The 25272-nt window shown below is 39.0% G+C and overlaps 1 protein-coding gene across 12 annotated transcripts in view, besides 1 other annotated feature; it reads left to right on the forward strand.

Moving 5' to 3' along the window:
* LRRC8D (leucine rich repeat containing 8 VRAC subunit D) overlaps nt 1-25272 on the forward strand; it is a 115580-nt gene that overhangs the window by 52138 nt on the left and 38170 nt on the right. The gene's annotated exons all lie outside the window — the stretch shown is intronic.
* Nucleotides 21061-21355: a silencer, noted in NCBI's record as "tiled region #14100; HepG2 Repressive non-DNase unmatched - State 15:Elon". NCBI's record gives its function as "represses a minimal TATA promoter and a strong SV40 promoter by Sharpr-MPRA in HepG2 cells {active_cell/tissue: HepG2}" and the evidence as "EXISTENCE:reporter gene assay evidence [ECO:0000049][PMID:27701403]".

Below are 25272 nucleotides of genomic sequence, written 5' to 3' on the forward strand. Positions count from 1 at the left end.
AATTCAACCTGTCCTCTTTGAAAAATTTGACCCCCTCCCCTGTAACTCAACAACCCCTCAAAGCTGTCGATGCAAAGTTGCAAAATAACAAAGGCTTCTGTATTAATTTCTGTGTTACAGCCTTCTGGGAAGAGAATGCTGGGAGAAAAAATATTTCTAAATGTATAATTGCATATATACACTTTTTAGGTTCTCCTTGTATTTTTAATGACCTAATACTAGAACATTTTGATAAGTTTAGTTCTTAAACAGAACTACCAAACACAAAAGCCAGCTGGAGGCAGCAAATGACTAGGTGGATGTTGAAGCTCATGACTTCCTTTCAGTGGCCTCTTCTTTGTATACAGCTCCATGTTTATGTCCAGATGGACTGACTATATTGATAGGTTCCAGATAAACAATGGACACATTAGAAGAGGGGTGTTATCATCAAAAACTAACAACTGAAGAGTTAAAATATGAAACATATCTTTGTCATGTAGGATTGAAAACTATCATATTTTATTGAATCAAATTTATGGCATGTTTCTCGTAAACCTAAATTTTATAATCCTGTCTGTTAAGTTGGTTGGCAAAGCCCAAATGTTTTCCCTTACATTCCTGAAACAAATTTATAAAGTCAAAGAATCAGCCATATCATAGCAAATTTAGAGTGCCGTTTGATAATGAACGACCTAGTAGGTCATTAATCTTTTCTATGGGCAGTGTTTTTTTTCCTCATCAGCTGCCTAAAGTATTTGGGAAATTGTATCTTGTGGGAGTTGCCATTCATCAGGAAATGCTTGTTCATAGATCTAAGCCAGACCACATGTAGCAGTAAATGTTATTTATCACTATGGAAACCAAAAATCACAAATGGGATAGTCTAAGTGTTAAGCATTCTGCTTCCTATGGCAGTAAGTCATACCCAAATTTGGTTCACTTCACTCAAATATTTGTGAGGCACTTAACGATTAAAGGGTTTGTAGGTACTTTGTTTAATGAATAAATTTCTCCTACACAAAGCTGAAAACATCATAAAGGGAAAAACTAGGAGGAAGAGTTGCCAGTTTATGTGGCTTATCAAGCTCATAATTGTAGACCCCTAAATTCGGAGGCAGAGGACTAGAGTTTTAGCTGTGGTGCTGCCAGAAGCTAGCTGTGTAGCTTTGAACTAGTTCTCTAACTTCTTTGGAACTCAGTTTTCTCATCTATAATGAGATGGAGTTGGATTCTATGACCTCGAAGTGTGAATCTGTTTTCCTTTATTATTCCTTGAGAAGTAAGAAACTATTTGTGTGTGTGTGTGTGTGTGTGTGTGTGTGTGTGTGTGGTAAGTGGGGCATAATATTTGGATTCATTATGTCAGGAGTAGTGAAGTTTACTATTACCCTTCAGTGACTTTATCACCTAAAAAAAGAACAAAAACCCATGCTTAGTAAGGATAGGGTCCACATGTTGCCATTTATCTATGGATTCTGCCTTCCTCTCCACTCAGTATGTATTGACAAAGGATGTCATTATTATCTAGCAATGATGAAGTATTGCAATAATCTGAATTGTAGATGTTGAATTGACTCGTAGCCAAAAGGTGGCATTTAAGGAGTATAATTGCTGTTCATAGATAAAAGTAAGAATAATGACTTAAGCAGTAATCCAAAAATGTTAAGAAGTTGGTGGAAGAAGAGGCTGGCTGAATTGATGAGTGAGAATGTTTATTCATAAATTCATTTAATTCTTAGTTCTACTGAGACTTTACCATGATTGTCATTGCAGTAGTTCCTATACAGTGGGAATATGTTCCTATAATGGGAATTTGAATCATTCAGTGTTGCTGATCTGGTTGTATCTGGACGAGGCAACTTCTCTTACCTGTTGTCTCATTATTTAGTGGGGGGAATATCTATCCCATCCTTACTTCTCAAGAATAATATGAGGATAAAAAAAACCTGTATAAAGCTACAAACCAATATTATTTTGTACAGGTTAAGTAGCCCGGTAGAATCTTTTGGAATTGATTGAAAATACAAATGCCTTTTTGACAGGCATTGCTGTTGGATTTTTTTTAACATGGGAGAAGTTTACTAGATTTCAAATTTTAAAATATGCATGGGATTGAAAGTTAGAAGCTCTGAAACATTTAACTATCTGGTCTTTACAAAATATCATAATAGGTGTCCATTAAATGTTCTTCATTCACTCATTCATTTATTTTATAGTTTTTGATCATTTGCTGAATGCCAAGCAGTGTTTTAGAAGCTAGATTATACAGTTGTGAATATAACAAAATCCTTATCCTTATGAAGACCATATAGTAGATGAGTCTGATAAGCATGTGTTTCATGGATATCTATTAGATATCCTTTAATAAGTGCTAATAACAAAATTAAGCAAGATAAAGAGATAGGGCAATGAGAGAAGGGGGTGTTACATGGTCAGAGAAAGCCTTTCATATACAACAGTGTAACTTCCACCTCTTTTAAGGTCTTCTTTATTTCTATATGTTGTCATCTGACACTGTACCCAACACATAGAAGGTGCTTATTAAATGTTTAAATGAAATTTTTATTTATTTAACAAACACTTATAGAGGACTTACTCTATGCCAAGCAGTGTTCTAAGTGCCTTGCAAATATTATTTTATTTGATTTTCACAAGAACGCTTTGTATACTGTTTCATTTTATGAGGAAACTGAGGCACCAGGATGTTGAGGAACTTCCGCAAGGTCACAGCTAATAATGAATGAATCAGTTTGTAAAGGAATTTAAAAAATAAAGATTCTTAAAGGTTCTTAGTGCCACCTCTTGCTTTCAGGAACACCAGATAGGGTGGGACTCCATATTTTGGGATCATGTTGGGTAGGGAGCATGTCAGCCCCTGAGGTCCTTTTGAAAAGCTCCTAATACCTCTACCTCCCAGGCCAGGCAGATACCACTCTTCTCCAGGCTTCCATCCACTCAGAGCTCTTTCCTGCTGGACCCGTTGGAAGCTTCGTCTGCTCTGCTGACACCTGGACTTTCCTGGGGCTGAGGTTAAGTGATAGCTTTTTCTCTGTGGTTGAGGAATTACAGCTACTAGAAAAGAATGTATCCTCTTCATCCATTCTCCTACCTACTATTTAAATGGCAAGTAGTGTTTTTATACTGTGGTCCACGGACCCCCAGGATTAAAACCACCGTGGGGCTCATTTACCATACAGATTCCTGGGCTCCACCTCAGACCCACTAAATCAGGCTTTGCAGATGGGGCCCAAAAATCTCTATTTTAAGCTTCTTAAAAACTACTGGGTTAGAGGATGTGCACTTCCCGTGTGAGGGGAAAGAGATGAAGAAAAGAGTTATATAAGACAGGTTTGTCTCCACAGAGAGTGCAGAGAGGTTCTGTAATTCTGATGGAATTCTTTCCCTGCCTGGTTAGAGCAGAGAGGTGGCAGGGTAGTGGGAGATCAGATATTAAGGGAAAATCCATGTGAAAACTCCAGAGTCATTTAGAATAAGGGTTAGTTAACCGTGGTCTACAGGACAGCTGCCTGTTTCTGCAATAAAGTTTCTTTGGAACATAGCCACATTCATTGGTTTATGCATTGTCTGTGGATGCTTTGCACTACACTGATAGAGTCGAGTAGTTGTTACAAAGACTATACTGCCTCCAAAGCCTAAAATATTTAGCATTCGGTCCTTTATAGACAAAGTTTGTTGGATAGCTTACCAAATAACTACATGAAGATTGAAAAGTTTCTATCTGCTCTCCAATTTGGTAGCCACTGGCCCTTGAAGTTTGGATAGTGAGCACATGAAGTGTGGAAAATGTGACCAGGTAACTGAAAGTTTCATATTATTTGGTTTTAATCAATTTTAAAAATTAATTTAAACCTCAATAGCCACATTTGGCTGATGGCTACCATGTTGGATAATGCAGAACTGCAGAACTAAAGTGAAGCTTTCAGATTGGGATTGGCTGTAAAATGTCAAATATGACAAGGGTCTGCTTTAGGCCTCTGGAAAGAGGGAGTCTAAGGAAAGGAACATCTAGATAGGATATATTTTAGAAGAAACTTCAAACAGTTCTTTCTCTCTCTCTCTCTTTTTTTTTTTTTAAATTTGTGTTTATTAAGAGTTACTTGTAGGGATCCAGTTCTGCCACTTACAGCTTTTTGACCTTGGTCAAGTTACTTAGCTTCTCTCTGCCTCAATTTCCTCATTGGCAAAACAAGGATAATAACAGTACCTTTTAAAATTTTTATGAGCTTTAAGTGTGTATGTGCTTTAAAAATACCTTGCACATAGTAAAAGCTTTGTGAGTGTTTGCTGTTCTTAATTATTGTTATTATTATTTCATGATTTTTTGTGGCCTAATCTAAGAAAATAATCCTTACATATTTGCCCCACTCCCCCTTTTCTGTTTTAAGGAAAGTGGATTCTGAATTTCAGAGTAATTTGTATATTAACCTGGCTAATGCAGCCTGTTCCTAAAACGTGGCTAATGCAGCCTGTTCCTAATTTAGGGACCAGCGGTGGTTCACCTCCTTCCACGCAGGTTTGTTACAGTTAACACGGTTGGGTCCAGCACGTGACATACATGGTATGGTATTGTCTAGGTTTTATTGATGGTCACTGTAAACTTTTATAGATAACTGAAACTCTTCAAAAATAAACTAGGCATTTTTATTTAGAAGCAGACTGTTTCTTAGTGTTAGTTCTTGTTCCTAAGCAGGAATCATAGTAATATTTGAAAGGAAGTATGTTTCTATTTTATCTTGAGACGTGTCAGAATCTCCTAACATGAGTATGCTTGGTGCCTTCCCTTTTATAGAAGCTGAGCAGGACTGGCAGGAACTGTTTGAGAGGTGCGAGTTCCCTTTGTTTGTGTAAATGATAGCAGTGATAGAAATTGAAAAATGAAAGAAAATTCAGAATCATGTCACTATGGGTTTTTAAAATCCAGTGGCTATTTCTTAACTCTTTCATCTTCAGTATTTTTTACTAATTAGTTCCATAGACTTGCAGTGGATAAACAATATCACTTAAAAACCTCCCAGAAGCCAGTGAGTGCAGCTTCTTGAAAATCTGCTTCTAAGTTTTCTGAGACAGCAGTGATGTGAAAATACTTTATAGTGCCTAGATCTGTTATCCAAGGCTCGAACAGCAGAGTGTTCAGCAGGTATTATGTGCTCAACAGTTGCTCATCAAGCTGCCTTTTTGACCTGTAAGATGGCATTGCCAACACCTGTTGATCAGTACATAATATGAGAAGAAAGCCCTTGGCTAGATGGCAAGAGGTATTTTCTTATGCAAGTAGTCCCATTCTCTAGGCCATATTGTTCTGTTGGTTGTCTTTTCTAATTCTGGATTGTGTTTGAATGTATCTGAGATGCATTGAACTTGCTTAGAGTTTCCATGGACTCATTGTACTTAGAGCAGAAGGAATGAGAACATGGTCAACTATTAATATCCTCTAGCTTGAAACTATCTACAGTCTGAAACTTTAGTCATCTTAGGGAAGGAGGATATGGAAGTATAGAAGTCTCTGATGAGGGCCATGTGCAGTGTCTCACGCCTGTAATCCCAGCACTTTGGGAGGCTGAGGCGGGTGGATCACCTGAGGTTAGGAGTTCGAGACCAGCCTGGACAACATGGTGAAACCCTGTCTCTACTAAAAATACAAAAATTTAGCCAGGCATGGTAGTGGGCACCTGTAATCCCAGCTACTTGGGAGGCTGAGGCAGGAGAATCACTTGAACCCAGGAGGCAGAGATTGCAGTGAGCTGAGGTCGCACCACTGCACTCTAGCCTGGGCAACAAGAGCGAAAATCCGTCTCAAAAAAAAAAAAAAAAAAGTCTCTAATGAGATGTGGCCCATGAAGGACTGGATTGCGCAGTAAGCACAGCTGTTTGGCTGCAGCCCCTATTTTTCTGTGCACATCCGTGCACCCCCCTGCTCTGTATCTCCCTGCTGCATTTGTCCGCTAGACTTTATCTATGCTTTTCTAGCACTCTTATCTACAGCCGTTGACACCCATTTGTATCTCTTCAGCTGAAAAAGAGTAAGCAATGAAAGAGTTTATCCTGCTATAAATTCAATGTCTGTTCTTCTCCTTTTGTTTGGGGATGCAGCTTGCAATTTAGAAGGTGGTTCCAATTATCAATTTCCTGGGGGTATAAACCTTATTAATATAAATTGCAGAGCTAGAATTAATGAGGAGAGCTTTTGAGCAGACCGACATCAGCTCACTGTAAGGAAACAATTGTTGAGAACTAGAGCCGTCCAGTAGTTTGCTACTGAAAGACCTTGGAAAAGCTCAGATGATTCTGGTAGAGATGTTGAAATGGATAGGAAGCTGGTGAGATGGTTTTTTATGTTGGGATATTGTATACTTCAAAGATATTATAACAAAAATACTTTCCTGGTAAATCTGTTGTGTTACCTTATGTATGATATTGTGTATAAGAAACAATTTCTTTTTTCTTAAATCATAGGTGAATGAGACTATCAAATGTGGCACACTAGTAGACACCGTTGTTCTAATGATGCATGTTGTATAATCATTTCTTCCCTACAAATTTATTTTAAAATTAATTAACAATTTACTAATTATAGTATACTTGGCTGTATTCAGTAGTTATTTGTTTGGGACCTGCTGTACCCATCACAGTGTGCTAGCTTCATGAGGGATAAAAACATAAATATGGTGCTGCTTTTGCATTCTAATTGGAAAAAGAGACATGTAGGTTAGCTAGAATATAAATGAAACTATGAAATGTATTAAAATTGAATTACAAAAAGGTAAGTAGAAGCCATTTAATTCTTCCTGGAGCAATCTAGAGAGATAGTGTGGACTGAACTTCAAAAGAAGTAAGGTTGAAAGAGGCAAGGATAATAATTATTAACATTTATTTGGTATTTAGTTATGTGTGAGACATTTATCTATGTGCTTTGCATGTCTCTACGACGTTTGGTACTGTTACCCTCATATTACTGATTGGAAATTGGTTGGGGCAAGGAGGAAATTTGATATAGATGTGTAAGCAGGGAATGTTGAGTAGTCTCGTGTAGCTGACTATAGAATTTGTGGGGACAGGGAACTGCATACGAGATGAGAAATGTAGACTGGAGTCAAATTATCTAATCCAAAAGAAAAATTTGACTTTCCAGATTCATTTCCAGGATCATCTGAGGCAAAGTGTTTAATGCAAAATACATTGGCATTGGAGTGATGAGCTTTAGATTTCAGTGCTAGACTGTAATAATGTGAAATCTCATTAGGTTGGACATTTGTCATAAATCAGAAAGAAGAGACCTAGGTTTGATTTTTTTTTTTTTTTGGCCTACCATTTACTTGCTGAGTGTTCTACATTCTGCAGAGATTTAGGTTCATTATCCATAACATGAGTAATAAAATTTCCCCATGAGTATGTGAAAGTTCCATGCTTGGTGCCTTATGTGTATATAGGAAGGATGTAATAAATATTAGTGGATCTAAATCAGAAAATAGAATTTAAAGCAGCAACTCTTGCCCAACCAGCTAGATACCCTTATATATATTTCCTTTGTATCACTCTTCAACCTTTTGAATTCAACACCTTATTTCTTCTTGCATGGACTGTTGTGCTAGTCTTTGAACTGATCTATTCATTCTATTCCAAATACAGAATGTTAGATTAATTTTTTCAAGCACAACATGTTATTGCTAACATACGTATGTCACTGTATTACATAATACAGTGTACATATTACATAATATATGTAATACATAATATATTTATTACATAATACATGTCACTAGCACTGGAATCTAAAGCTCATCACTCTAATGCCAATGTATTTTGCATTAAACACTTTGCCTCAGATGATCCTAGAAATGACTCTGGAAAGTGAAATTTTTGATGGCACTCCATTTCCTACAGAATGAAAAGCAAGTTCTTACCTATGGGCTCTTAACTATTCCATTATTAATCTCTTCTTTTTACTGGCCTATCTCATTTCCAGCTCCATTTCTATCCCTAATCCTCCCAGTTCAATGATTTCTCCTTTATGGTTCTTTACATCTTTGGACATTTTTCATCCAGTCATCTATTCAGCCAACAGGAAGGCTGGTAAAAGTGGGAGTATGTGGAAATTCTCCTTCGATTGCATATTCTTTGGAAAATACAAAGTGCAAGGTTTTCCAGCTGAGGGTGGGGAGGAGATTTCTAAAGAAAGGAGAATGTATGAAATAGTCATCTAAAAAACGAAAGAATGATGGACTTGGGAAATATGCTAGGATTGCTAGGCTAAACTAAGGACCCCCCTGAGATTAGTGGTCATAAGTTTAAAACAGTACTTGTCAGTCAGCATGGTGACTGATTTTCTCCAAACATGTTCAGCAGCCCAGGTACAGTTGCAGAGTAGGTGGAGATTTGGACTTAACAAAACTGTGGTTTGTCAGATGAGTAAGATGGAGAAAAGAAGAAGCAAGGGGAGCTATGGTGTAAGGAAGGAAGGAAGTGTTTATAGTAATAAGGCAAGTGGAAGGGAGAACCTAAGGGGGCTCAAGACATGAATGGCCTGAAAAGGCATGATCATGCCTTTTCTTAGGCATGAATTGTGATTTCCATCCATTAACCTGGAACAGCCTCACTGAACTTCATTTTTAGCTTCTGTTTTTCATTTCCAAATTCATAGTTGAGTGGTCATTGGCCTGATGACCCTTGGCCCAGAACAGCAAGGCCATGCTGAGGGTGCCCCTGGCTATGAAGTAAGAGATGGAGTTGGCCCTGTTAACTTTAACTCTGCGAGCTGTTCATGAGTCTTCATCTGGAAGCAGTTTATCCATATCCACTGCCTTGGTGATGGAGTAGTGCACTGGGAGGGGCTGGGACTCCTGAGGCCCTGCTCAGCAGAGCAGCTGCCAGAGAGAGGAAGATAAGGCCTCACTGCCATCAGAGTTAGGACCAGGACCTATGTTTCTGGTTGTATGCTGCCTACGGAGCTTTTGGATGCACTCTGGGACAGGAGACTAGAAACTTTGGCAGTTGTTTGAGAAACAAGTTCCTGTAGAACAGTAGCTATGGCTATTTAGCATATGTTTGTTAGGTCCCCTTATGTGCTAAGCCCTGTGCTGTGCCCCAGGAACACAAAGGTGAATAAGGTAGAGATATCCCTGCTGTCATGGTAATTTATTTCTTGCTTCCTACCATTCATTTGTTTCATTAGCTTTGCTGTTTAAGTACTACGTGCTGTGCACTGGACTGGCTATTGGAATTTTAAAAATTAATATGAGTCTACTCAAGGGTAAGCAGATAAATTATAATACCTTTATATTTACTCTGTGAGATACACTGCAGGCGCTGTGAGTCCACAGATGGTAAATGCTGTGGGAGATAATGAATGCAGAAAAGGGCTCATCCCCTGCCCTCAGGGAGGTTATAGTCCATCTAGGAGAAGAAAACCACAGTACCTCCAGAAGCATATCCCGCTATTTAAATTTTTCACTGTTTCATTATTTGTATGTCAAACTCCAAGTGTTTTTGTATTCCCAGCAGAGTTCTGGCGCCAAAGTGCTAATAAATGTTGATTGAATTAATGGATAAATAACTGTGTATTGCAAGACAGAAATTGACATGTTGCTATAATAGAGAGTAGTTCTTTTAGAAAGTGTGACATTTGAGCCAGGCCTAGGAAACTAGATGGCCGTTCCATATGAGAAAAGAAGAGGCATGCCAAACACCAGAAATAGCCACTTGTTAGGCCCAGGAAACCACCTGGGGTTCTGGCTGGTAATGAGCCTAGGGCATATGGAGAAATGTGGAGAGATTAGGAGGGAGGACGAGGGCAGATAGTGGATGGGGCTTCAACTGCCAGTCAAGGGAGTTTAGACTTTATTTAGCAGGTAGTAGAGTTTTTAAAGAGGAATTCCAGAGCTGGGCATGGTGATGCCTGCTTGTAGTCCTGGCTACTGAGGAGGCTGAGACGGGAGGATCCCTTGAGGCCAGGAGTTTGAGGGTATAGTGCATGATCACGCCTGTGAATAGCCACTGCACTTTCACCGGGGCAGCTTAGTGAGACCCCCATCCCTCAAAATACGTGTGTAGGCGTGTGTGTGTGTGTGTGTGTTAAGGGACAGTATTTTCAGAAACTTATTTCAGAGGGTACTTTGAGAAACTACTTTTGATAGCAATGTAGTGGGCAGATTGGAGCAGTTAGATCCAGTTGGATCAACTAAGATCCAATCTGATCTTCGTTGGATTAAAATAGGATTTTATTTTTGAGAATGGGGGATATCCAAGCATGACCAGAGGGTAAAGGGAAGGAACCCCTGGGTTTTCTGAGTGCAGGATCACGACCAGATGGTAAGGGAGGAGGAGATGAACAGCACATCTCATTGGGGGCCTGGTCAGCACTGGTATTGGAACCTCTCAGTAAAGTACCTGCTGAAGAGAGATGCCCTGGAGGAGCCGGCCTAGGCTGTGGATTCTGGGCCTTTAAGGCTGCTGTTAAAATCACTAACTGTGGGGTTTCAGCTAGGTGGGGAAACCAGAAAGAAAAAACAGGAGGGGCTAATGATAGACCCCTTGCATGCTCCAGAACATCTAACATGTTGTTCAAGTGGTATAATTGACATATTGATGATCAGACAGAAAATGCAGAGCACTGAACGTTCGTCTCTTAGGACCCTAATTACCTCCTTTGTAAAACAACCCTTCAGATTCTGTTCAGCACTAGCAGCCTGTGAATCTGTCAGTGGAGAAACATAGGGACTTTAGAAAAGCTGGGTGCTTTCTGAAAACCCAAACAAACACCCACTGCCAGCATCCAACTCAGGAAGGTCATCCGATCCTGTCAGTGTGGGTACTTTGATCCATTTAGTTCTTATTCATTATTACTGATTCTTTGTAGGTAAAGTTTATAAGAAAGCAAACCAGCTAGGTTAGAGCGTGTTTCATGTTAACCTTTTTTTCCTTTCTCATTGCTGAAGAAAGTAGGGCACGTTGTTTGAACGGCATCTAGTCATGCTACAGCCTGCACCTAAAATTGCAGATGGGCCTTTCTGCAAGAATCCTTAATGCGTGAACAGAGATTCTTCATTTGTTCTTTATATCTGGTTATAAAAGAAAACAATCTCACAGTAAGCCTTAGGGTGGGCTGTAGATGAGGTAGACTTTGTGTGTAATGGAGCCCTTTCTATTTCCTGACATTAGTCACTGAAGGAAAACGCCCACATAATAATAAAAATAATACCTAACATCTGTTCAGCACTTTGGAGCTCCCACTTGCCATATATATTCACATCCAGATATCAGAAGTCATATATGCGATGTTACACTCTAACTAATGAAAGCAAAGATAAGTATTGAATATTTAGGGGCATGCATTTATTTAGGTAAGGATTTATGGCGAAGAGCAGGTTCCTTCTGTTTTTTCAGGCGTTGACATTGGGGAAGCGATAGAGTGGATAAGAACCGTGGAGTTAGACAAACATGGGTTCAAACCCCAACTCTAGAAGCAGGGTGACCTTTAGCAAGCTGTTTAATGTCTCAAAGATCCCAGCTTTCTCATTGTAAACTAGAATTATAATTCCTCTCAGACTTGATGTGACAATGGAAAGAAATTAGGTTTATAAAACTCAGATACGCTTGGAACCAGAGAACGGCACAGTAACTGGTAATAACAATTACTTAAATGGTGTACTGTTGGATCTTGGCATCAGGAACCTTTCCTTGCCTTTGTGCCCTTAGACCCGAACTATTACAGTTCCCACCTACATTTCTCCTTTTAAGATGCTGTGTTTGCACTTTCTACCTCAGTCCCACTGATATCATGCTTGATGTTGCCTCCAGCTAAGTTATGACAGCAACCTCCCAGACAATTGCTAGTATCTCTCATCCTCCCATCTCCCCACAACCACACCACAGATCTCATATACCATGGTATGACTATACATTCTAAACCTATTTTATGTTATTGTGAATCTGTACCATCTGTCTGCTGCCTATTAAATAAAACTACACTCCCTTTAAATTTTGATATCCTCTGAAATCTGGCAAAATCTTACCCTTTGACTTTATTTCTTATGACTACTCAGTACGAATTTTTGGCTTCATCCAGGGATCTTAACCTTAGACATAGAATGAACTCAGTTCTCCTCAGTGCCTTTGTTCATGGTGATCTTCCTGCCTAAAATGCTGCATATAGCATTGTTTATAAAGTATGGATGCATGGATGCATGTATTATGAGTCATAAAAGAAACATGAGGGCCCAGAAACACATTTTCCTTTTAAAGAATGATGAGGAAATCCATATCTAGACACATTCCTCTGCTTTCCATTTCATTTCCGCCTTGACAATTAATATCCTGACAGTGTTAGAATGCATTAACTTAATAATGGTGTGAATACATCCTAGTAAGGATAGTACCAGCGCATTTAACAGCCTGAAGAAAGAGATTTTAAGTTAGGGTGTTTGGAAAGGGCAAAAAGGCAATAGTAAGTTTCCTATATATGTGCACTAAGAAATATCTGTCTGGACCCATCAGAGAACCCTTATTCTACTGTTGCTGGTGTTTACTGTCTTCCTTAACGTTGTTTTCTTTGAGAGAATAAACACATTGTGCTTGGGCATCAGTGAAGACCTGGTGTGCAAAGAGTGCCCTGCTGTCTTTCTCTTACAAGATCCTCAATTCCTCAAACCATGGCTTCAGGCTGCAGGCTGTGGAGGCAGAATGGGCAAGGAGTCATTTTAAGTTCACTCCCTGGTTTCCTTTACATCAGTTTTCATAAGATGTAACCTGATGTGTCTTGGACCTATAGACAAATGCTATTTTGCTTGGTCTTCACAATGTAAAATTATTCTGGTTTGTTGAGATGCTTTACCTCACTTACTTGCATTTTTCCTTCTATTCCTTTACTCCTTAAAGAAAAGTTAAGGGGTGAGAGTGGGGAGAGGAATAGTAATGGGAGAATCTGTTCCATATTATACCTCATCCATAATGAATCTCATTGCCTTCGAAATTTTTCCTCCCATTTTTAAGAGTGTAGTGCCTCATCCATGGCAGTTAGTGGAAACTTAAATATCCTAAGATTTATCCTTTGCCAATTCATTTAGTCTCTGAAGAGTGAGAGACTCTTCTCAAGTCTCAAGACAGGGAGGTGCTCTTCTCAAGAGCCCCGGACGGGGGAGGTCATTTGTAACTTCTTAAGGGATGGAAGTTACATTTAGGATTTTCTTTTACCTCCAAGTTTCTTCTTAGAAGTTTAAGTAGTGGAAGAAGGATCTAGTAGCTCTTATACTGTAGCTTACTCAGTAAAATTTTTCCTTATCCAATAAGGTAAGTACTTGTAAAATCATAGTAGCAATTAAGAGGCTGCTTCTCTCTTTCTGTTGGCATTCATTTATTGTAAAGACAAGAACATCTTTTTAGAAACCTTAAAGCACTTAATAATAAGCAATTTAAATAAGGTGAGAAGGAAGAAACATTTTCCTCAGTTTTTATCTCAAAACATATGGTGTATTCGCAGCCCATAAGTTGGCAGTAACAGCAGCCTATTTAATAAAACGGAAATATGCACGTGAGGTTAATCAGGTCAAATAGAAGTATGCATATGTAGAATGATAACCTCGAAGAAAACTGCAAATTTATTCATGCAAAGAGTGGAGGGGAATGCCATAAATATTAACAGTGGTCCGAAACTTACCTGATTTTTTATTCTTTTACTTGTATGTATTTATATTTTCCAAATTTTCCTTATTGAATGTCATTAACTTTATAATCAAAAAGTCACTTTTTAAAAAGACATTTTTAAAATGGGGCATTTTAATGTTTTTAAAAATGTTTTAAAAAGACATTTTTAAAAAGTGATGCCAAATGATGGGTGTGTGCTGATTTGGTGATTTGTTATTTAAATTTTATTTCTTAGAAGAAAAAAATGGGAGAAAAGTGTAAAATGTGGGAGAATAAATGATTAAATATGACTTGTTGAATATACTAGTCGTTTACATGGGCATAAATCTGGAAACCTCAGATATCTTGAAGGGTCACAAAGAGCCGATTTATCTGATTAAGTTAATTAATACTTATGAAGTCCTTTGAGCAGTGCTTGGATATGATATGCCCTTTTTTATTGTTTTTATTTTCGTCATTATCACGCTTGGACACTAGCACATATTATAATACCTTATACGAATGGTAGCATTCACTAAATGCTTGTTGAGTGAATTTTTCTAGACTTTTCACAACTCTGGTTCATTTAGTAGTTGTGTCACATTTGGACTTTGATGCCTGGAACTGAACTGAACACAGAATGACACACATGATCTAACAAGTGCAGACTGACTGTCTCCTCCCCTGTCCTGGCCATTGTCCTGGTAATAGTTTTTTGATGAGCAAGTCCCTTTGTTGCCTCATACCAAGCTTTCAACCTATGAAAACACTGAAGTATCTCATAGATGCAGTAACTAAACTAGTTATCTTTCCCTGATGTGTACTCTTGAATTTTTTAATCAAATTATTAACTTCCCTGGTAATCTAACCTTTTTTTTTGGTTTGGCCCACCTTTCAGCCTGTTAAGGTGTTTTCATTGCTAACTCTTTCTATCCTGTATAGTATCCTCTTAAGCCTTATGCAATCAAAATTTCTGCAGCAGTATCATGAATTTAAAATATGGGATAGGAGGAGAGCCCTATGGCATGGCATTCTTCTTCTTATTTTCTTTATAATGTTACCACCTCAGTTATTTAGTTTGTTGGCTAATGACAGATTAGGGAGCCACAGGGTGGGAGGTTTCTTAGAAGAGGGGTGGACTGATCATACCCTGAGTTTATTATCTGATGCCACAGGAGAAAACAGAAAAGATGTAAAAAGGCACCAAGGGAGACGTGACACTGTGCATTTGTCAAAACCCATAAAACTTTACAGCACATATATTGAACATTAATGTATCCAGATTTTTAAAAGCCATTTAGGAGGTTGGAGGATCCCAGGATGAAATTCAGACTATGACAAAAGAATCCAACTGTATTACAAAGTACAGAATAAACTCACTGAAGAAAGTGAATGAAAAAGGGTTACCGACTTAAATAACTTAGGAACTATATGCAAGCACTATACTCTATTCGATAAAGTTGTTTCCCATGAGGATATAAGTTAATGATTCTGAAACTATTATATATGTACACTGGAATTGAATAATAAGTAAATGGATAGTGGATGATGAGGGCCTTGGTTTCTCACTTTGGAATGGAAAGTTATAGATAAGCAAGGAGGGAAATGATCCATGTGGTAATGGATTTGAATTGGAGATACCGATATGAATTCATGTTTAGCTTGATATAGATACAAAATACAAAGAAATATTTATAGATATGTGTATATACACAAGTTAGTACGCACACAATTTCTTCGCTGTGTCACCTGAGAGAGCCTAAAAGCAGCAATATCCCAGCAGCAACAAGCATATCTGGCATCCAGATCTTGGTTTCTAATACCATTATCCTGTGAAAGCCACCAGGTCTCCTGGCCGAATGACAGATTCCAGATTCTAGAGCGGGGGCAGGGAATGTGCAAGATGAACTTGGAGCATCTTGTAGTGCTGGAAAGTAAGGAAGAGCTTAACAAACCCACAATGACGAAGGTTTATCAGAGGGACACAGGAGTTACTGAAATAGCTCACAGTGGCCAAAGATGAAATAATTTGAGCAACAAAATAAAGTAGTAATGAACTGTAACCCAAACTATGAAATATGTACCCATCCTGATATAAATAAATGATTGAATCAATAAATAAATGAGGGAAATAGACAAATCTGTGCAGAAAAATTCCAAATGATTTATGTAGGTATTCCACTCTCAAAGAAGTGGGTTATAATACTTGTCATTTCCTTAAGTGTGGGCTGTGCATGGTGACTTCCCTCCAAAGAGCAATGTGGGAAGGCAGAGAAACCTGACAAATACTGCTCTAGTCTGGTGAGCAAGGTTAACATCAGTGGTGGTAAGTCAGGCTAGTGTTTATGCTTGATATGATGTGATGAGAATGGCACTTTACTTCTGGGGTCTTACTCCCAGAAACCTATAATTTCAGGCTAATCATGAGAAAAGCATGAGACTAATTCCAGTTGGTGGTCATTCTATAAAATACCTGACCAGTACTCCTCAAAACTGTCAAGGTTATCAAAAACAAGGAAAATCTGAGGAACTCTCTCAACCAAAAGGAACCTAAGGAGATATGAGTAATAAATGTAATATGGTATCCTGGATGGGATCCTGGAACAGAAAAAGAACATTAGGTAAAGACCAAGGAAATCTGCAAAAAGTGTGGGCTTTAGTGGATAATATATTTTTATTGGTCTGTGAATTGTGACTAATGTATGATATTATTAATGGGTGGAGTATATTGTAACTCCTGGCAGTAACTTAAATTTCCTCTAAATCTAAAACTATACTGTTTAAATGTTTGTTTAAAAAAAAAAAAAAAGGCAGCCTGGATGCACTGGCTCATTCCTGTAATCCCCGCACTTTGGGAGGCCGAGGCTGGTGGATCACTTGAAGTCAGGGGTTCGAGACCAGCCTGGCGAACATGGTGAAACCCCGTCTCTACTAAAAATACAAAAATTTAGCCAGCTCTTTTGGTGAGCGCCTGTGGTCCCAGCTACTTGGGAGGCTGAGGTAGGAGGATCGCTTGAGCCTGGGTAGTCGAGGCTGCAGTGAGCCGAGATTGTGCTCCTGCACTTCAGCCTGGGTAATAGAGTGAGACCCTGTCTGAAAAAAAAACATAAAATAAAATAGGCCGGATGCGGTGGCTCATGCCTGTAATCCCAGCACTTTGGGAGGCCGAGGTGGGTGGATCACGAGATCAGGAGATCGAGACCATCCTGGCTAACACAGTGAAACTCCATCTCTAATAAAAATACAAAAAATTAGTTGAGCGTGTTGGCGGGCGCCTGTAGTCCCAGCTACTTGGGAGGCTGAGGCAGGAGAATGCCATGAAACCGGGAGGCGGAGCTTGGCAGTGAGCCAAGATCACGCCACTGCTCTCTAGCCTGGGCGACAGAGCAAGACTCTGTCTCAATAAATAAATAAATAAAATAAAATAAAAGCCTTGAGGATTCCAAAAACATTGTAGGAGAGGGCAGCATACCACACCCTAGGAGCCTGGGGGCCTCCGTGTTACAAAAGTGTTGATTGATGCTCTTGATAATGGAGCTGAGTCATCAAGAACAGGTTCAACTTTGTCCTGAGAACCACTAATTCAGGGATGTTCTCACTACATTTTCCTGGTTACAGCCAACTTTTTGGTATTTATAGCCCCAGGCTTTGTATGCTATATCATTCATTCAGTCTTTTTCCTGACATGGTTTAACCTAGGAGGCTCAATATGTAGAATTCATGTCTGAGTCAGCCTCTCCGTATCCCCTTTATCTCCTGGCAGAATCTCTGGTTCCTGGCTCAGGCACATCCATGTTTTTGATTTTTGATTTTTGGTTTTGGAATTATCTTTTGACTTAAGAAGTCACAAAAATAATACAGAGTTCTCCAGTACCCTTCACTCACCTTCCCTTATGTTAATGCCTTACATACCGTAGAACAATTCTAGAAACCAGGAAATTGGCATTTATACAATACTGTTAACCAATCTAGAAACCTTATGCAAGTTTTGCCAGTTTTCCTACTAATGTCCTTTTTCTAGTCCAGGATCCAATTCAGAATCCCACATAGTACTTAGTCTCCTCCAAGCCATGATGATAGTTCCTCATTCTTTTTTTGTTTTTTATTTTTTTTAGAGACGGAGTCTTGCTGTGTCATCACTCTGGAGTGCAGTGGGGCGATTTCGGCACACTGCAAGCTCCGCCTCCCGGGTTCACACCATTCTGCTGCCTCAGCTTCCTGAGTAGCTGGGACTGCAGGCGCCCACCACCATGCCCAGCTAATTTTTGTATTTTTAGTATAGACGGGGTTTCACCGTGTTAGCCAGGATGGTCTCGATCTCGTGACCTTGTGATCCGCCCGCCTCAGCCTCCCAAAGGGCTGGGATTACAGGCGTGAGCCACCGCGCCTGGCCTCAGTTTTTGTCTTTCATAACATCAACACTTTGGAAGCATACTGGCCAGTTACTTTGTACCTTGTCTATCCATTTGGGTTTTCTGGTATTTTCTCATGATTAGATTGGGGTTATGCATTTTTGGCAAGAGTACCACATAAGTTATGTGTTCTTCCAAGTTCGTCATATCAAGATGCACGTGATGCTGATATGTTTTATTACTGGTGGTGATAACTGTGATCTGTTAGTAAGGATGATGTCTGCCACTCCATTATAGAATTATTGTTTTCTCTTTTGTAATAAATATCTTGTGGAGAGATACTTTGAGACTATGCAGATATCCTGTTTCTCATACTTTTGCTCACTACTTTTAGTGTTTATCAGTGTCTTGTGCCTGCAACAGTTATTGCTGTAATGTTTGCCTAACAGTGATTTTTGTCTTTCCATCATTTCCTCTACATATATTATTTGGAATTCTGCTTTAAGAAAGAGCTGTCAAGGTGCATTCATTTTTAGTAATAATGATAACCACAATAATGTTGATTATAATTATAATGGTACCCAACATTGTTATTATGACTTGCTTTGTGCCTGGCACAGTGCTGAGTTCTTGGTTTCACTTTTATAACACCTTCTTAATTAGCTCATCTGTCTGCAAGAGTTGTATTTCCTGGAGCACCCTCTCCAGCCTTTCCTTTCCCTTTGTTCCTGTAACTTTCATTTGCCCCTCTGTCATCATCCCCCTGCCCTCTGTATTAACAACTCTGGGTTCTCTCACTCCATACTAGACTTTGGTCTCTTATCTCTGTATCTCCGGTTCCATGTATAATGTCCATCACATCATAAGTGCTCAGAAACTGTTATTGAATGAAATAATTTGTTTTGAGCCTGTGTAACCCCAGTTCATCCTACCTGAGCATGCTACATTGTTCCGTTTCACATTCTGATAATTGTTCTTTAGTGGTCAAGCCATATGTTTGCCCCATATGAAGCTCACAATGATAAAATGCTGGATATTTCACAGTGCTGCTGCTGTTAAGCCAGGTGTCCTGAACGCCCTCGCTCCATGTTTGAGTTTTTAAATTATGTACAAGGCTTTAGGCTGATCCCTGTTAAATATCATCTTGTTTGTTTTAGCCTGCCTTTTCAACCTATGGAGATCTTTTTGATACCTGATTCTGTTCCCCAGCCCATTTGCTATCCTTTTCAGCATTGTGTGATTTAAAATTTTTCATCTTCCAAATGATTGATAACAGTGTGGGATAAGGTAGGACCAAGTTCCCCGCTTGGCATTATTTAGCACTCTAGGTGCAGTCATTTGACCTGTAAGGAATCTACAGAACCGTCACTAGATTGATATTTCCTTTTTTTTTTTCTTTTGAGACAGTCTCGCTCTGTCGCCCAGGCTGGAGTGCAGTGGCACCATTTCAGCTCACTGCAAGCTCCGCCTCCTGGGTTCACGCCATTTTCCTGCCTCAGCCTCCTGAGTAGCTGGGGCTATAGGCGCCCGCCAACACGCCCAGCTAATTTTTTTGTATTTTTTAGTAGAGACGGAGTTTCACTGTGTTAGCCAGGATGGTCTCGATCTTCTGACCTCATGATCCACCCACCTCGGCCTTCCAAAGTGCTGGGATTACAGGCGTGAGCCACTGTGCCTGGCCGTAGATTGATATTTCTGTCAAATTCACAAGGTTATTATATGTAACTTTGTTAAAACTTTCTTGAAATCAAGTAAAATTCAATCAGACAAAGTTTATTTGAAATTACATGTCCTCAGCTTTCAGTTGACATGTGGTTAATTTGTTCATTCATTCATTTATTTATTTATTAAACAGATAATCTATAAACATCTATATGACAGGTACTGTCCTAGGTGCTGAGAATAGAGTGTGAACAAAATAGACAGGATCTCAGCTTGTGGATCCATAAGCAACCAAAAACATAAACAAGATAATATAAAATAGCTGTAAAAGCTATGAAGAAATGAAATGAGATGGGGACTAATCAGGAAAGGCCTCAATGAAGAGGTGCCAGCTGAGCTAGGGCAGGAGTGTTGAGAAGAAGGGAACAATGAGAAGATCTGGGGAATGAACAGTCCTGCAGAGGGATGAGCACGTGCAGAGGTCCTGAGATACAGGTGAGCTTGGCATATTCAAAGAACTGAAGGGCAGCCAGTGGGCGAAAACATGGTTATAGCTTTCAGTTACTTGAAAAATATTCGTTATCACTTTTTTCCTAGAAAGCATCTAACTTCATGCTTAAAATTTGACTTTATTTGCTCATTTAACTAGGAAAAAAAAGGTAGACCAGAATTGCAAGGGAATTAGCATATTTCCCCAGGAACAAAGTATTCTGAAAACAAAACAACAGAAAATACTGGAAATTATGCATTTTCAAGATTGATAAGAATGCTCTTGTTTTCCCAAGCATACATTTTTTCCCTGAAGTAGATACAGTGGAACCCATCTATATTGTAATGGGACATACGTTATTGTTCTGAATGCTTTAATATCTAGTATTTTAGAATGTCTTTTATACTGGATAGTAGTGTAAAATGCCTTGAGACATGCAGTTGGTTTTTAGACTTAAGACCTCTTGATGATTGCAGACTTACTCTTTTTTCAGTAGAGCATAGTGGAAACTAAAGAGTTTTTTAGATGAATATCTGGAGTAATTTAATTACCATTTTAATTGTTCTGTATTTGCAGATAATTGGTGATGTGAGTTTTTGACTGACTTGAGATTAAAATGTGCTAAACCCTTACCTGATAACTCTCATTAGAGCAATATATGCTGGAAGCAGAGGGCTCTTGTTATGGACTAAGTGTTTATGTCCCCCACAAAGTGTTGAAATCCTAACCCCAGTGTAATGGTATTAGGAGGTAGGGCCTTTGGAAAGTAATTAGGGCATGAGGGCTCTGCCCTCATGGATGGGATTCATGCTGTTATAAAAGGGACCCCAGAGAGTTCTCCTGCCCTTTTCTCACCATGTGAGGATAGACAGGGAAGTCAGCTGTCTGCAATCTGGAAGAAGGCCCTCACCAAACTCGGCTGTGTTGGTACCCTGATCTTAGATTTCCAGATTCCAGAACTGTGAGGAATAAATGTTTGTCATTTAAGGCACCCAGCCTGTGTAATCTGTAATAGCAGTTCAGACTAAGACAGCCCCATATTACTCACTCTCCATCTGAGAGTGAGCCGAGCACATAGCATTCTTGGCATCAGTAGCACAAGGGTATGAAGGGAAATGCTTGAAGATAACTGGAATGTATAGTAGAAATGTGATTCCTGTTTATCTCTGAGTGTTAACTTTCAGAACATAGGAAATTGAGATGCTCCCTTAAACATTCTTTTAGATAGCAATTTAGGGAGGCAAGCTGAACTTAAATCTTTTAGGAAATTGGACAGAGTCATAGCCCATTGGGTTTAGAGGTAGTATAAGAAAGGTTGCTGACATTATTTGGCTAAAGTGAATGGAGAACAGAGTAAACCAAGAAGATAGTGTTCATGTACATCATCAGCACAATACTGAGTAAGCTGAAATATAGAAAAATAATGTATGCTTACTATTATTGGAATGTGAGTGACATAAGTAAATTTCATAAAGGGAATATAAGTCACCACTCAAATAGTTGTTTCTTTCCTTTCCTTAAGATACAAGTGTTCCATATCTTACGGGTGAGTACAATATTGGCTGATGTGATACGGAAAATTCTGTCAAGTTCGGAGACAGCCATAGTGTTGAAAGTTCTGAGTGCTTTCAACACTATCAAATAGTGCTCATATTCTTTCATTGTCAGATTCCATGACCCAAGTGTGTCTGTAGGTGAAGGTCTCCCACCCCCACCCCACCCACTGATCACTCAGTAAGCAAGCAGGCTGATGTCTCAGTGCCTACAGTGAGCAGTGTTAACTGACTCCTGTACTTGCTTGTCTGAGGACAGACAGGTGTGCTAGATAATTAACATTTTTTGGAAACAAAATTATTACATTATCCTAAAAATAAATCAACATACTGGGAACACATGCAGGACTTTTGTATTACTACGCAAGAAAAGATAAGCCTACTATATTCATATAATATATTATGAAGTCTGTTAGATGACCTTAAATTTGTTCATTTTTCTTATTTGACAAGAGTTTTAAATCCCTATGTATTTACAGATTTGGCAGACTTGGTATGTTTTCTTCAAGCTATCATAAACAAGCAAATGGCTCAGAAAAATTCCCAGCTAGGTAATTTTATCTCAAATATCTGCTTAATTTCAAAGGCAACTTGAGTTAGCCCTGTGCAAACTCAAAACACTGTGTGTAAATATATGTGTAATAATTTTTTTTCTACGTACCACATGTATCTTCTAAGTAGCATAATGTTGCTTTTAAAGATGTACTGTTTGTTTTTTTACTTTTAATTTTCTATGTGAACAAATTTGACATGTACTTTTAAAAATTAAAATATCTTCAAGTTTCTATTCATATATAATATTTCATTTTAGGCAACAATTGAACTTCTGAAAAGTTGATGAGACGTTGAACTTCTGTAAGCTAAATTATTTTTAGATGTCTTGAAAGAACTCTAAGAAGATGAATAATCATACCAATTTTTTTCATGATTTTAGTAATCTCTTTATCATGTTTCTTAAAGCAGTTTACATCTATGTATAATTTGTGAGGCCCAGGATAGAATGTCTCTGAGTCTGATACTCCAGAGTAGCATACTCAGCTCTACAGGGAAAACTTTTCCATAGGAAACATCAGAAAAGGAAAGGTATGACAGCACATGTTTATTAAACATATTACATAATATATGTCTCCTCCTGACAGGCAAGCGTTAGAACCTTTATTAGACATTGTCATCTTAATATAATGTAATGTCCACAAATACATTCTCTAATAGACAAGAAATGATACATGAGTTTTAGGTTTCCAGACTAACAACCCAAAATCTATGGCTTAAGTGGCTTTGTATAAATACATGGCCAATAACGGCATATTGCCGGGACTTGGAGCAGAGGTAAGAGTGTGGGGAGAGGATCAGCCTTGAAGACTCCCTTGTGGGTGAGTGGGAGGGTAGAGGGGTGGATGAAGGTGGTAAAGGATAGATGGGAAGAGGCCAGGAGGTGGGGAAGGGAGGGGTCGTAAACTTTGGTTCTGGAGGAGCCCTTAGAGATCGTGTCGTCTGACATCATCATTGCACAGAAGGGGAAGCAAGATAAAAATGTTTATGTGCCTGGCTCGTGGTCACGTAGCTAGTGGCCAAGCAGGACCTAGAATGCAGATTTCTGACTCCCAGCACACTTTACACACTGGGAGTTTGCTAAGAGTAGCTGAGAAATACACACAGTGGCTTGGCAGGGAGAGAGAGGCTGTGAAGACTTAACACAGGTGAGGGGTGTTCAGGCCGAGGGTAGGGCAAGCTCCTGTGTGAAGATCAGGGTTTACCACCCCTGGAGGACAAAGGTAGTGAGAACCCAGCACAGAGGTCAGGACTGTAGTCAAATAGATTAGCATTCAGGACAGAGTCCAGTCTAAGAGCGGGAAATCGCCATATCACACTAGTGATGATAATAATTACTCTTTCTTTCTCCCTTTCTGTCTTTCTCCCTTTCTCTCTCTCTGTCTCCTCTCTTTTCTTGTGAATCATAGTTGTTAATAAACAAGCTAAATCTATATAGTGCGAAATAAACATATTCACATATTCTCAAAAAAAATTACTACTTGTTGGATGCCTATTGTGCATTAGACATTAGGCTAGACACTTTATTGCAGCATAATCATTTAATTGTCATAATAATCCCTTTGGAAAGGTGTGGTGGTTCAGTTTTTGCAGATGGGGGTGCTGATTGATATTCAGAGAGTTAAATAATTTACTTGAAGTCAGCAGAGTGTATTAGAAACTATTCATTACTTTGGGACCAGAGGGGCAGAAGGAAATCCAAAGGAAGAGAAGTATGCAGATGTGTTCAGATACACACTTTGATGATAACTATTGATGTATGTACATCTCTCTTGGCTATGCTATAGGAATACCTTAAGTAATTCAGTGGCAATATACCTTCTTGCTAGTATTTTAATAGTATAGATCGGTTAATGAATTATCTTAGAAACATTATACTTGGTGTATTCTGTTGCTTTATGGTTTCATTTTAGGTTGAGTATTAAGGGAACACAGTATTTTAATCGGGACTCTGCCAGTGCTTTTATCTACAGGCCTGTTGCCATTTTTGTCTTCTGTGAAATTTTTGTCACAAGAAAGGCGAGATTATGTTTTTTCCTAGCAGATTGAGTTGGTGTAGTATATTCTTGGTTATCAAAATACTTACATAGATTTGAGATTTTGAATTGGTAAATATTCATGTGGTGTTTAAAAGCATGATACATATTGCACAATCTTAATCCCATTAAATTGGATGCTGTGTCTATACACACGCAGGACCTAGGAGGACACGTCAAACTGTAAACTGCTTGTGATTGTGGATAACTTTGTTCTTTGCTTCTTGTGTTTTTCAGTTTCCTATCAGGCATATATTAACTTTTTTTAAAAAAGGTTATTTTTAATAACCTGAAAAAAAAACTGATTTGCTGAAGGTCAATAGTTTGCTCTGAGAGAGGACACCATGATTTGAACTGGTCTGCCTTAGCCAAATCTCATTTGATTTCTGCAGTGCTATGTTGCCCTCCCAGAATCACAGATAAAAGTGGTGGGCAGCCGAGGTGCAGTGGAGGTAGAGGCTGGGACAAGGTGCATCCCGGTGAGTGCCTGGTACAGGGAAGGAGCAGCATGGTCATGGTGTGATAATTGGAGGCCACCTCTCCTAGCACAGCAGATAACAGAAGGAATTCCCACCTAACCGCCATACTCGCTCCTAAGCAGCTGAATAAAGATGTCTCTGATATGTGGCTGAACCTCTGTATGTGGTTTAGTGCTCACAGGCAGCCGATACTGAGAGGAAAAACCTTGGGTTCCTAAAACTTTTAAAACATTGAATACGAGCCAGTAAGCAGTCATTGGTATACTGCAGTTATTGTACCAGAGTTAACTGATGCTGTAGAAGTGAGGCCACCACATTTATCAAATCTAAAAGCAATTCATGGGAGGATGGTGAAAAATGGAAAACCGCAACCTGATGAGGAATCGTGAAATATCTACGTGTGGATGTTTAGCCTTGTACTCCACCTCTATGGGGAAGGGAAGGAAAGCGTTATTCATTGAGCATCTCACAATGTTCCAGATATTAGATGCTTGCCAATCCTCGCAAATTCTACGAAGGAAATACTCTCAC

The sequence above is a fragment of the Homo sapiens genome, chromosome 1, assembly GCF_000001405.40.
Source record: "Homo sapiens chromosome 1, GRCh38.p14 Primary Assembly".
In the NCBI taxonomy this organism is placed as follows: Eukaryota; Metazoa; Chordata; class Mammalia; order Primates; family Hominidae; genus Homo; species Homo sapiens.